This window comes from Homo sapiens, chromosome 6, assembly GCF_000001405.40.
Source record: "Homo sapiens chromosome 6, GRCh38.p14 Primary Assembly".
Taxonomy (NCBI): domain Eukaryota; kingdom Metazoa; phylum Chordata; class Mammalia; order Primates; family Hominidae; genus Homo; species Homo sapiens.
The window spans coordinates 147,208,881-147,222,948 of NC_000006.12; the positions used below are offsets into that span (position 1 = coordinate 147,208,881).

A 14,068-nucleotide genomic window follows, 5' to 3' on the forward strand; every position below is an offset into this window, starting at 1 on the left:
ATAACAAATTATGAGGCAAAATAAATTAAATGTATTTACTACATTAATGTATAGCAAATGACATATGATATAAATATGCTGAATGCTAAACCTTCTTGGCTTCTGGAGAGAATATGAGATTGAAGAATGAAGGTATTTTTAATAATGTTACTGTCTTTATCTAGACTTCTGATTTACTACTAAAATTTCAAATTGCTTCATACTTTAATCATGGGTTACCCTGATCTTATTTTTAAAGTAAATTTTTTTTCTAAACACAATGAGGTCATTATATATATGAATATTTCAAGGACTGAGCAGAAAAATGGAATTTCAGGTTTACTGAACTTGTGTAAAAATTTGAGGTTTAAAAATGAATTGTCAAATTATTATCGAAGAACCTCATTCATTGTCTTCTTGACTGGTGGAAAATACAGTGAAATAGACAATCTCTGTTTTGATGAGGCATGGATTGTCTTTTAATGCAGAGTAATGTTGCTGGAGACAGGCTTACAAAGTGATTTTTTTACCTTACAGTTGATTTAACAAGCACTTGAGTGTCAGACAACATTAGATTATAAATTGTGGCCTGAATTCTGGTTCTTCGCTTTCCACTAAATAATTACATGTCCTTGAATTAGTTTTTTTTTTCCTTACTATAAAAATGAAGGTGCAGTATTAAATGATTTCTTCAAGGAAGAATTTTATGATTTCAAGTAGCTATGTATTCTAGAGGAGTAATACAAAAGAAATGAAAATGTGATCCTTCCTTCAAAAAGTTTCCAGTTCTAACCAAAGGACTGGAACTAAATAAGCAGTTGAAATTTGAGAATTATTTGGGGCTCTACTGACATTACACAAAGTCAGGTTACATGTAAATTTGTTGCATTTGATGAACATTTCTATACATTGGTAGATAAGTATTCAGAATGACAGGGAGGAAGGAGTGGGAAAATTATTCTAGGCAAGGAAAACAGTATGGGCAAAAGCATGGAAAAGGGAATTATGCGAGTTTGGAGGAATACTAATGAGGCTAGTTGGAATAATTGAGTTAGCAGGAGAAATAAGGAGGCTGTTGAGGGTCTGCAATTTTAACCTGAGGTATCTGCATGATATTCAGTTAGGAATCATAGTTATGTAATAGGAGATGCTGACAGGAAGAAAGCATGATTTTTTAGCATGATTAGTGGAGTAGTGGTATAGGTGAAAAGAATGGACCAAGTGAACTTCACAGAAAATTATTAATCCATATAGGTAGTAAAGTGAATCCAAAACAGGGGTGGCAGAATGGGAATTGGAGAAGGGCTTGACTTGTTTGTATAAAATCTTAGGGAGTAACTAAAGATGATAAGGTTTTGCAAGTAAAGTAATGAGGCAATTACAAGCGAAGTGAAAAACTTGGCAAAGAAGTGGCAGAGAAATGTTGAGTTTGAAATTATGTTATCTTTAACTTTTATTGTATTATCATTTTGGGAGAGTAGCCTAGACTTCTTATTTTAGTGTGAGAATTTGATATACTTTCACTGTTTTGTTTTGGTTTTTTTTGGCTGGTCCTTGGTGATTTCCAGAATTTTGTTACTGAATTTATATTTAAGGTCATTAGTAGCTGTTTGGCATTGTCCATTTATTTTCTGTCAGTGTTTCTCAAAGTGGTAGCTTTTTGGGCAGAATAATTCTGTGGGTTTGTCCAGCACATTGCAGGATATTTAATATCCCCGTCTCCCACCTACTAAATGCCCATGTTGCCTCCCCTGTCAGTGTGGCAACCCAGACCCTCCAACACACTTCCAGGTGCCCCTGGTTGAGAACCACTGCATTTAGCCCAAGTTCTTCACCAGTTAAATAAGAATAATAACCCTACCTAGCTTGTGAGGTTATTGTCACGATTAAATCTAATAAAATGTGTGTGTGTAGCTTTTACGATCATGAAGGGATATTGTGGTGGATACATGATTATTACATTATTATTATAATACATGATTATTATTAATATGAGAGTTTTTCTGTGGCTTTAATTTTCAGGTCCTTCATTTCTCTCAGCGAATACTGAGTGGCAACTGTGTAGGAAGGACTTCATTTCATTTATTTTTGTAGCTAATACAAACTTTGAGGAAAAGATACTGAAAAGCACTGTTCTTTTCTTTGAGTTTGTTTTTAAAATGGTTGTGTTCAGCCTGGCACAGAGGCTCACGCCTGTAATCCCAGCACTTTGGGAGGCCAAGGCAGGCGGTCATGAGGTCAGGAGTTTGAGAACAGCCTGACCAACGTGGTGGAACCCCATCTCTACTAAAAACACAAAAATTAGCCTGGCGTGGTGGTGCACGCCTGTAATCCCAGCTACTCAGAGGCTGAGGCAGGAGAATCGCTTGAACCCGGGAGGCAGAGGTTGCAGTGAGCCAAGATTGTGCCACTGCATTCCAGCCTGGGCAACAGAGCAAGACTCTGTCTCAAAAAAAAAAAAAAAAAAGGTTGTGTTCTTCTCAACCACAAGTTTTCAAAATTGCTACTTAGATGTAATAATAATGTATGTGAAAGTTTCTCACATATGGTAAATGCTAAATTGATTAATGACTTTCTGTACTGTACTTACAAGATAGCATTAGAATATTTTGACTTGCTACTTAATTTTATTATATAAAACATAATTATACCATGGAAAAAAAATGGAAATGATTTTCATTTGAAATAATTAAAAGTAAAATAATTAGTTTAGAATTTAGCCAGTGTGTTTTGTTTGTTTGTTTATTTTGAGTCGGGGTCTTACTCTGTTACCCTGGCATGCAGTGGCAGGATTATAGCTCACTTCAGCCTCCACCTTCTAGGCTCAAGCAATCCTCCTACCTTGGCCTACCAAGTATTTGCGACCACAAGTGTGTGCCACCACTATTTTGTTTTATTTTTGGCGGAGACAGAGTTTCACCATATTGTCCAGGCTGGTCTTGAACTCCTGAGTTCAACCTCCCAAAACGCTGAGATTACAGGCATGAGCCACCACGCCAGATTTTATCCATTCTTCTCCCTCCCCATCATTTTTGTTCATAGCTACTTTCCTCCTCCTCCATCCTTTTTTGTTCATGGAAGAGTTCCGGTCATTTGGAATTGTAGTTGTGCAGGAGAAACAAGGAGCTTGAAATACTCAGCTCATATCTCAACTGTTAGCTCCTTTAGCTCCTCATTCAAGAGGACATTGCATAAAAGGAAGAATAAGTGCTGTATCAGCTGTAAGTTGTGATTCTTAGCATGGACTACCGCAGCAGGAGGAATAGGCACATTTATTTCAGAACAACCAGAAATGGAATCTGCTTGGAAACAGTTTATTTCGCAGTGGATTTCTTGTGGAAGGAAACAAATGTGATAGAAACCATGGAATTGAAAAGAATATGTTAACTATTGGAGATTCAAGTCCGTGCTTTGTAAGCCTTTCTGCTTTAAGTAAGATGAGTTTTTATCTCTGTTGGATATTCTTTGTTTTCTGTTTGGTTTTCAGTATGATTCATTTGAAATTACAACCTAACTTTGCCATCCTAAAGGAAAAAGTAAAGGCATTTTGGAAGAATTGCCTTATTATTAGGAGATTCTTGTTCCAATAATCTTCAGACTTACCTTGTATAAGTCAACTAAAATCTCTGTGCTTCAGTTTCCTTTCTTGTAAAATGAGGAAATTGGGATGTGTTATTTCCAAGAATCCTTCCAACTTTTGGACCTTAGAATTTCTTTTTCTGTGGGGGGATTTAGGAATTCTTTGGACTGTGTTCCTGTAGAGGGATCTTCTGGTTGATTGCTCTGAGTTCCTGTTAAAGAGAATGAAGTGTTAGACTCCATACCATTGCGGCTCCCTCAGCTTTGTGTCCATTGACTACATTCATAATCCAAGTCAGTAGAAGCACAAGTGTAAACCTTTGTTTACAGAAGGGACCAGGAAAGAGCATGTGAATGAACTAACACAAATGTCTTTCCTTGAAACAGTAGCTCACATTGAATACTAAGATGGTGGTTTGTAGCATTTTCTGTGTATAACAGATAAGGTCTCATTATGAAATAGGAAACCAGGACTTTTTTTTAATACCATTAACAAAATTCACCTTCTTCCTTGGTTGTTAAATGTCAGGATGTAAAATTAAAATAAATTAACTTAAACAAGAATATTGAGTTCCTAATCACATGATCTTAATAATCTTTAGAGATTTATTAATAGAGACTGTCTCTCTTGAATTGCTAGTATGTAATTTGAGTACTAAATTTGGTAATTGTATAGTGTAATAACTTGGAGTAATAATTGCTGGGCATGTACATGTAAGTAACTGGACTATAGGTTTGAGTATCACTAAAGATAAGCTTAATTGTTGGATCAATTTGGCTTTACCTTTATGCACTGGAAGAGGCAATTATTTACAAGAAGAATTTTTTCTTTCTTTTTTTTTTTTGAGATAGGGTTTCTTTCTGGAATACAGTGGCACAATCACAGCTCGCTGCAGCCTAGACCTCCCGGGCTCAAACGATCTTCCTGCCTCAGCTTGCCAAGTAGTTGGGACCACAGATGTGAGCCACCTCACCTGGCTCACATAATTTTATATATGTGTGTGTGTGTGTGTGTGTGTGTGTGTGTGTGTGTGTGTGTGCGCGCGCATATATATATTTTTTCTTTTTCTTTTATTTTTTTCTTTCTTGCAAAGATGGGGTCATACTATGTTGCTGAGGCTGGTCCCCTGGGCTCAAGCTGGGATTAAAGATTATGAGCTACTGTTCCCAGCTACAAGAAGAAAATTAATAATTAGGATATCAGTAGTGTAGCAGTAATAATTAGTAATAATCAGAATGTGTATTTGTTTTCGATGTTTAAATGAAAGTTTCCTGACCTGATTTGCTATATTAGCATCTTCAGAAGGTATACTTGGTATTTTGGGATGGCAGATAAGGAAATAGTTTTTTTGGTTTGACCTAAACAGATGTTTATCTGTTTAAGAGTATAACAGATTGATATAAAGAAAAGGGCATTTCACTATTAATACCTTTTAGATTTGAATTTGAATTAAGATAGATTTTAAACATAATATAGTTCTACAGAAGTTCTTGGGAAGCAAAACAAAGTGATTACTGACATGATTTTTATGAAATAAACCAAGAGTTCATAAAACTATAATAATAAAAAACTGCCAAAAGGTACTTGATACATTTCTCTTCCCTTAGTCATATGCAGCACACATTATTCTAAGGAGAAGTTATGGTGCTTTCTAATTTAGTTACTTAGACTTCCTGTAGAGACATTCAGGTTTCTATACAATACAATTATTTTGCACTTTAATTTGAACGCATTTCTGATGTTTATTAGCAGTAATAAAAATAAGGACTTTTTCATGATCTTCTGTATATCTGTATTATCATTCTTAATATTTCTGAATAAGTATATTGCCATCATCTACTTTCAGATTTAGCAATTCTAGTTGGTTGGTTTAATCTCTTATTTTCCTCATATTTACTTTTAAATAAATTTTGGACACCAGCTCTGTTTACCATGTAACTTATCTTTTTTCTTTTGGCCATGAGTGGAAGGTAAGCTGAGGTGAAGGAGGTAGGGGTAAGAATTGTTGACATAGTTTACTGCTTACTAGTGAGTGTTCCTCAATGGCCATGTGTTTAGTGAGTCCTTAAGTCTAGAATAAACTTTTCTCTGTTTAAATAATTCTTATGTTTAAAACCCAATGTCTTTGTGATATATGTTTTGGTTTGATTCCATCCCAACTTCCATCCTATTTAGCCATCTTTTTCTTAGTTGAGCCTTTAAAATTTTGATTTCCGCATTGCCATTTCTTTATAAGTAATATGTGACATTAAATGTCTAAAAATAGACCTTTTGGAAATTGTAGCTGTAATATGGAATGGCATTTTCTTTTAAAATAAACTACGAAGAATGTTACAGGGTATGAAAAAATACCGTGCAGTCCAAAGTAATGCAAATCAGCAAAATCAGCCAGTATCCTCTCCTTTATCAAGAGTCCGGAAATTAAGACAGTAGGAGTGTATAAATTATAAAATCAAGATGAGGGAACACACAGATTCCTAAATGATCAACTTTATGTCCTTCAGTAAGGATCATAGGGTGGATGAGTATGTGTGTGTGTGCAGACACTTAAAGAAGATCTGAGTCTGTAGGAGTCAGTGAACATTTCCTGTAAAAGACCAGATAGCAAATTATGGTAGGCTTTATGGTCTCTGTGACGGCTACTCAACTCTGCTTCTATATTAGCACAAATGCAACCATAAACAATATCTAATGAATAAGTGTGCGTCAGTAAAACTTTATTTATAAAATCAAGCAGTTGGCTGGATTTGGCCCACAGGCCAAAGTTTTCCAATCTCTGCCTTAGTTTATCAGCCTGACTTGTTTTTAAAGGATATACAGAGAAGAATGTTCAGTAAGAAATACATTTTTAAATTTAAACTTCATTAGTAGCACTTGTTACTAGTTGAAATTTAACCTTTTGTCACAAATAAGAGTCTTAAAAAGAATCAGTAATTTTTTTTTGTTTGTTTGTTTGTTTTGAGACAAGGTCTGGCTCTGTCGCCCAGGTGGAGTATAGTGGTGCTATCTCGGCTCACTACAACCTCTGCCTCCCAGGCTCAAGGGATCCTCCCACCTCAGTCCCCCAAGTAGCTGGGACTCCAGGTGCACGCCACCACGCCTGGCTAATTTTTGTATTTTTTTGTAGAGCCTGGGTTTTGTCATGTTGCTTAGGTTGGTCTCGAACTCGTGAGCTCAAACCATCCGCCCACCTCAGCCTCCTAGAGTACTTGCATTATAGGCGTGAGCCACTGCGCCGAGCCAATTTTTTAATCAGTAATTTTTAATAATACATAGTAACTCTATATATCAAGGTAAATTATTTTTATAGGTTTTTTTTAAATCTTGTGAGAGGTGTGTTATCTCTGGAATTATGATTAGTATAATAATAAAGGTAGCTTAATTAGGCATCCTTTGAGGGTAGTTTAATGATTAGCTCAATTATTGAAGTGTTTAGCTTGACTTCCTAATTTTAATTAAAAATATACTTGCCTTTGTAGCTTTTTCTTAATATCTTTCTTAATATCATATACATATGTGTAGGTACATTTAGATAGATGCCTTTAAAGATAAAAGTGAATGTAAGCATTTTATTAAAATATTGTGACTTCTTTGATGTTACAGATGTTTGTCAAAAATAACCGGGAAAAAACTACCTGAAAAATGAATAATGTATTTTTTAAAAATTCATGGCTGGGCACGGTTGCTCACGCCTGTAATCCCAGCGCTTTGGGAGGCTGAGGCAGGCGGATCACTTGAGGTCAGGAGTTTGAGACCAGCCTGACCAACATGGTGAAACCCCGTCTCTACTAAAAATATAAAAATTTGCCGAGCGTGGTGGCAGGTGCCTGTAATCCCAGCTACTTGGGAGGCTGTGGCAGGAGAATCACTTGAACTTGGGAGGCGGAGGTTGCCGTGAGCTGAGACTGCGCCACTGCACTCCAGCCTGAGCGATAGAGTGAGACTCCATGTCAAAAACAAAAAACAAAACAAAAAAATTCATAAGGCTCCCAGAATAAAATTCAGATTCTTGGCCACTTTCTTTAGAATCAGATATATTACATGCCTCTTGTTGGAAAGAACATATATGGTAATTTCATTGGAAACTGAAATTTTATCTACTTTTTGAAAATATTTTATAGTTGCCCACTGACCACTCTTTGCATTATCCAGTAGCAGTAAATATAGATATAATTTTATTTAGTAAATGAGGCTAATTTTTACTTGATTCCATTTCTCCAACTAGTATTCTTTTGGAAGTATATGTAAAAATATATATATGACAAATAAATGAAATGATAACATGCTGAGCATATTTCTTTATATTTATTGGAGCTATGATTTTAACGTGAGCATTCACCCAGAAAGGTTTTTAAATAAAAAATAGCTGATAATTTTTGTTTTATATTAATCTTCATTTGAAAAATAAGGTTTGCTTTATACAGCTTGTTATTTGTAAGATATATGACGAGTCCTAGAACTCACATGGTAGCTATTGTTAAACAGCAAGTTTTAAACAATTGGAGGTGTTTTAATAATAGTGTTTGGTCTTGTTTTTTATTTTCAAATAAGTGCAGTCTGGAACTTTGAAGCTTTTCCTTGTGAAGTTGTTTGTTGAGTGCTTAATCCTGCTCTTTCTTTAAAGTACGTAATCTTTTCTTGTGATGGCAGTACCTCTGCTGTTTCACAGCAGCTCTCTGTCAAAGGTGACTATAAATCTGGCCGCATCAGCTATTGCAGTACTTTCTGCTAAATGGTTTTCCTTTGTGCGTTTGTCTCTTTTTGTCTTTTGAAAAGGAAAAAAAAAAGTGTTGAAACAGATTTTTCCATCTGTTCAGTCTTTGTACTGTATTTTTCATAATGTGTTGTATTTTTCTTTTAAAATTCACTTAACATACTTGAGAAAAGAACTTAGCCATTAGGCATCTGGGAATGGATGCTGGGATAAAAAGCTGTTTTTACTTATATGTGAGAATTTACATTCTTTCTTGTTCATTTAACCCAGACCACTATTATTTATGACTACGTAGTAAATAGTAGTTTGAGCAAGTGGTTCCTTTAAAAGTATATTTATCTATCAAAAGCCATTCTAAAGAATTGCCTGTGATGACAAATATAATTCATTTTTGCCTCTTCAAAAACAGTCCTAACTCCAAAACAGTGAATATTAAGAATGATTGTTTTCAACCACTCTAATTTGTTCACAAATAATAAAAAATTTCTTACTAAAAATAATAGTGGAAGGAGGTAACTAGAGGCTTATTCCAACCCAGTGAATACTATAATTATGTATTAGTCTGAATGTTGCAATTACTTTTCTGTTTTGGTGCTTGTTTTATTCACATTAAAACAAAAAAGCAGTTGACCGACCTAAATTTTCAGATACTGTTGGACATTTGTAAAATGTTACAGTTGTCTTGACTTAAAGTTTTAAATGTTGATGTGCACATTTTTCATGGCTATTCTTAGCATCTTGTTAAATTTTTACTGCAGAAATAGTTCATTTTGTAGTTTTTCTTAAATGAGATTAGCAGAATATAAGCATTGAGTAAGCAGTAAAAATTAATTTTGCCTACTCTTATCATGATGATGTGGCTATCTTCATTTTTAATATATTTTCTAAATAGACTTCATTTTTTAGTGCAGTTTTAGGTTCACAGCAAAAGTAAGTGGAAGGTACAGAGATATTATATATACTCCCTGCCTGTCCCAAAACATTCGTAGCCTCCTCCATTATCAGCAGAGTGGTACATTGAATCTACATTGACACATCATTTTCATCCAAAGTCCATAGTTTATGATAGGGCTCATTCTTTGCACATTTTATGTGTTTAGACAAATATAATTACATGTCTTTCATCATTATAATATCATACAGAATATTCTCACTCTGCAGAGTTTTGTGCTGTTCTTCGTGTAGATCTTGTACATATTTGTTAGATTTATATTTAAGTATTTCATTTTTTGGGGTGCTAATATAAATTTCAAATAATTTCAAATTAATTATTTCAAATTCCACTGGTTCTTTTCTGGTATATAAGAAAATGAATGACTATGTTTTTTGGTTTTTTTTTCTTTTTTAGAGACAGTCTTGCTCTGTTTCCCAGGCTGGAGTGCAGTGGTACAAACACAGCTCACTGCAGCCTCGATCTCCTGGGCTCGAGCAATCCTTCCACCTCAGCCTCCTGAGTAACTGGGACCACAGGTGCACACCATCACACCCAACTAATTTTTAAATTTGTTGTAGAGACAAGGTCCTGGCATGTTGGCCAGGCTTGTCTTGAACTCCTGGGCTGCAGTGATCTCACATCCCAAAGTGCTGGGGTTTACTGGCATAAGCCACTGTGCCTGGGTGTGAATGAGTTTTGTATGTTAACCTTGCATATCCTGGCCACCTTGCTATAATCACATATTGGTTGCAGGAGTTTTTCTGTTCATTCTTTCTGATAGCTGCATAGTTGATCATGTTATCAATGAACAAAGAAAGTTTTCTTTCTTTCTTCCTAATCTATGTGCATACCTTTTATTTCCTTTGCTCATTGCATTAGCTGGTGCTCCCATTACAGTGTTGAAAGGCGTGATAAGAGGGATATCCTTGCCTTGTTTCTGATTGTAGTGGAGAAGCTTTGAGTGTTTTGCTATTAAGTGTGTTAGCTGTAGTTTTTATGTAGATGTTCTTTATCAAGTTGAGCAACTTCACCTGTATTCGTAGTTTACCGACAGTGTTTATCTGGAATGAGTGTTGGATTTTCTGCATCAGTTGATATAATCATGTGATTTTTCTTTTTTTAGAAAAATGTTTTCTAAATGTTTTCAAATGTTGAACTAGACTTGCATACCTGGTATAAATCCCATTTGGTCATGCTGTGTGATTCTTTTTATACACTGTTGAATTCAGTTTGGTAAAAATTGTATTGAGAATTTTTGCATCCATCTTCATGAGAAGGATTGATCTTAGTTTTCTTTTCTCGTAATGCCTTTGGTATTCATATTAGTGTAATGCTGGGCTCATAAAATGAGTTAGGATATATTTCCTCTGCCTTTATCTTCTGAAAGAGACTAGAAACTTGTTATAATTCACCAGTCAACCCATCTGGTCCTGGTACTTTCTATTTTGGGAATCTATTAATTGATTCAGTTTCTTTAATGTATAGAAGCCTATTCAGATTGTTTCTTCTTGTCTGAGTTTTGGTAGATTGTATTTTTTAAGGAGTTGGTCGGTCCATTTCATCTGTGTCATCAAAATTGTGGGCATAGATTTGTTTTTAGTATTCCTTTATTCTTTTAATGTCCATGGAAATTAAAGTGATGTCTGTCTTTCATTTCTGATGTTAGTAATTTGTGTCCCCTCTCCTTTTTCCTTAGCATGGCTAGAAGCTTGTTTTTTTTTTTTTTTTTTTTTGAAGGAAGCAGCTTTTAGTTTTGTTGATTTTTCTCTTTTGATCTCCTGTATTCAGTTTCACTGATTTCTTCCTTAACTGTTATTATTTATTTTCTTCTGTTTACTTTGGGTTCAGTTTCCTCTTCTTTTTGTAGTTTCTTAAAGCAGAAGTGATTGATTTTACCTGTTTCTTCTTTAATATATATGAATTCAATGCTATAAATTCCCTTTAAGTACTATTTTCTGTGTTTCCCATAAATTTTGATAAGTTGTTTTCATTTTTATTTAGTTCAAAACATTTAAAAAATTCTCTCTTAATATCTTTTTTGACCCAAGTGTTAATAGAATTGTTTTGTTTAATCTCTACATATTTTGGGATTTTCCAGCTCTCTTTTTGTTATCGATTTCTAGTTTACTTCCATTATGTTCCAAGAGCAGACATTGTATAGTTTCTATTCTTTCAAATTTTTTGAGGTATATTTTATGGCCCAGAATATATTCTGTCTTGGTTAATGTTCCATGTGAGTTTGAGAAGAATGTGTGTTTTGCTGTTATTGGATAACGTAGACTGTAGATGTCCATTATATCTAGTTGGTAAAGAATGGTGTTGAGTTCAGCTCTGTTGGCACTTTTTTTCTGCCTGCTGGATCTGTCCATTTCTGATAGAGGGATGTTAAAGTTTACAACTGTAATAGCGGATTCATATATTTCTCCTTGCAGTTTTATGAGTTTTTGTCTCATATATTTTGACACTCTGTTCTTAGGTGCATACACCTTAAGGATTGTTGTGGTTCTTGGAGAATTGACTCTTTTTTCATTTTGTAATGCCCCACTTTAATGACTTTCCTTGGTCTGAAGTCTGTGTCTGAAATTAATATAGCTACTTTGCTTTCTTTTGATTAGTGAAAGCATGGCATATCTTTCTTCATCTATTTACTTTTATTCTATATGTGTCTTTATATTTAAAGTGAATTTCTTGCAGACAGCGTATAGCTGGGTCTTAGTTTTAGATCCACTTTGACAATCTGTCTTTTAATTGGTGCATTTAGGCCATTGAAGTTTAAAGTGAATGTTGATATACTTCAAATAATACCTACCATATTTGTTACTGTTCTCTATTTGTTGCCCTTGTTTTTGTTTCTATTTTTGTTTCCCGTTCTTTTTATGCCTCTTGTGGTTTTAATTGACCATTTTATATGGTTCCACATTTTCTCTCCTTTCTTAGCATATCAGTTTCTTAGCATATCAGTTATACTTCTTTTATTTTTTTAAATAGTTGCTCTAGAATATGCAGTATATATTTACTGTTAATCTGGGTCTACTTTGAAAGAACACTGTACTGCTTCACAGGTCATATGAGTACCTTGTAATAACAAAAAGAAATTGTAATTCTTTACTCTGATCACTTATGTCATTGCTGTCATTCATTTCACCTATATATAAGCATATGTGTTTATATATGTAAACATACATAAACTGGATACATTGTTGCTGTTATTATTTTGAAGAAACTATTACTACTAGATCAGTTAAGAAACAGAAAAGTTTTTATTTTTGCCTCTATTTCTCTGATGCTGCCTTCCTTTATGTAGAGCTGAGTTTCTGATCTATGTCATTTTCTTTAAGAAAAAAACAACTTTGACATTTTTTGCAGCACAGGTCATTTTGTCAGTTTTTGTTTGAGCAAGTTTTCATTACTTCTTCAGTTTTGAAGGCTAATTTTGCAGTGTACAGAATTCCAGTTTTTTTTTTTTTAACTTTCTGCACTTTAAATGTTTTATTTCTCTCTCTTCTTGCCTGCATGGTTTCTTGTGAGAAGTCAGAAATAATTTTTATCTTTGCACCTCTGTTGGTAAGGGGTTTTTTTCCAATGGCTTCTTTCAAGATTTTTTTTTAATCTTTGGATTTCTGCAATTTGAATATAATATGTCTAGGTGTAGCTTTCTTTTTTTTTTTAGCATTTATTCTGCTTGGTATTTTCTTAGCTTCTCGAATTTGTGGTTGGTATCCGACATTGATTTAGAGGAAATTCACAGTCATTATTGCTTTAAATATTTCTTTCTGTTCCCTCTTCTCCTGGTTTTCCTGTTACATGTACGCCTTTTGTTGTTGTCTCTCTGTTCTCAGATACTCTGTTCTGTTTTTTTCCAGTTTTTTTTCTCTTTGCTTTTCAATTTTGGACATTTCTGTTGAGGTATCCTCAGGTTAAGAGACTATTTCCTTAGCTGTGTCCAGACTACTATGGAGTCTGTCAAAGGCATTCTTTACTTCTGTTAAAGTGTTTTTGGATTCTAGCATTTCTTTTTGACTGGTTCTTAGAATTTCCATCGTTCTGCTTATATTGCCCATCTGTTGTTTGGTATTGTGTACTTTATCCATTAGAGCCCTTAGCATATAAATCATGGTTGTTTTAAATTCCTAGTCTGATAATTGCAACATTACTGCCATTTCGAAGTCTGATTCTGATGCTTGCTCCATCTCTTCCAACTGTATTTTTTGCCTTTTAATTTTTTCCTGATATCGGGACATGATGTACTAAGTAAAAGGAACTGCTGCAAATAGGCCTTTGGTAATGGTGTGGGGGGAAGGGAAGTGTGCTATAGTCCTGTCATTAGGTGTCAGTTTTTTAGTGAGTCTGTGCTCTTGGACTGTGAACTTCAGGAGTGCTTCTTAATCTCTTCTCCCCACACTTCCTCCCACTCCCTTTTAGGTGGAATAAGATGGCTAAAGTGGGCTGGAGTTGCGTACTTCTCTTCCTTTACTTGGAAGGCTTGGGCCCACTGGAGTGATTTTTCTTCTCTCAGGTTAGTTGGTCCCTGATAAAACCCCAGCAGGTTAGGCTCTCGTAAAAGTGTTATTTCTGAAGGCAGTCCTTGTTGTTAAGAACAGAATATGCTCTTGCATATTTAAAAATGGTTGCCTTTTCTCTTCCCTCTGCTGGTAGCATGAGGGAATTTTCTCCAATATTCATTGTGAGAACCTGCTCAAGCTTTAGAGGTAAAATTTACAAAGATGTGGGGACATCTCTATGACTGGGTTCCCCTGGAGTTTTTGACTTTCTGACTTGCCTATTTTGAGCCTCCGGCTATTCCTCAGTTACAGTGCTTGCTTCCTTACCCGGACACAGGTTTTCACAGAGGTTTGTGCTT

General features: G+C 34.8%; 1 protein-coding gene across 14 annotated transcripts in view; it reads left to right on the forward strand.

The window, feature by feature from the left end:
- STXBP5 (syntaxin binding protein 5) overlaps positions 1 to 14,068 on the forward strand; it is a 186,057-nt gene that overhangs the window by 4,464 nt on the left and 167,525 nt on the right. The window lies entirely within an intron of this gene.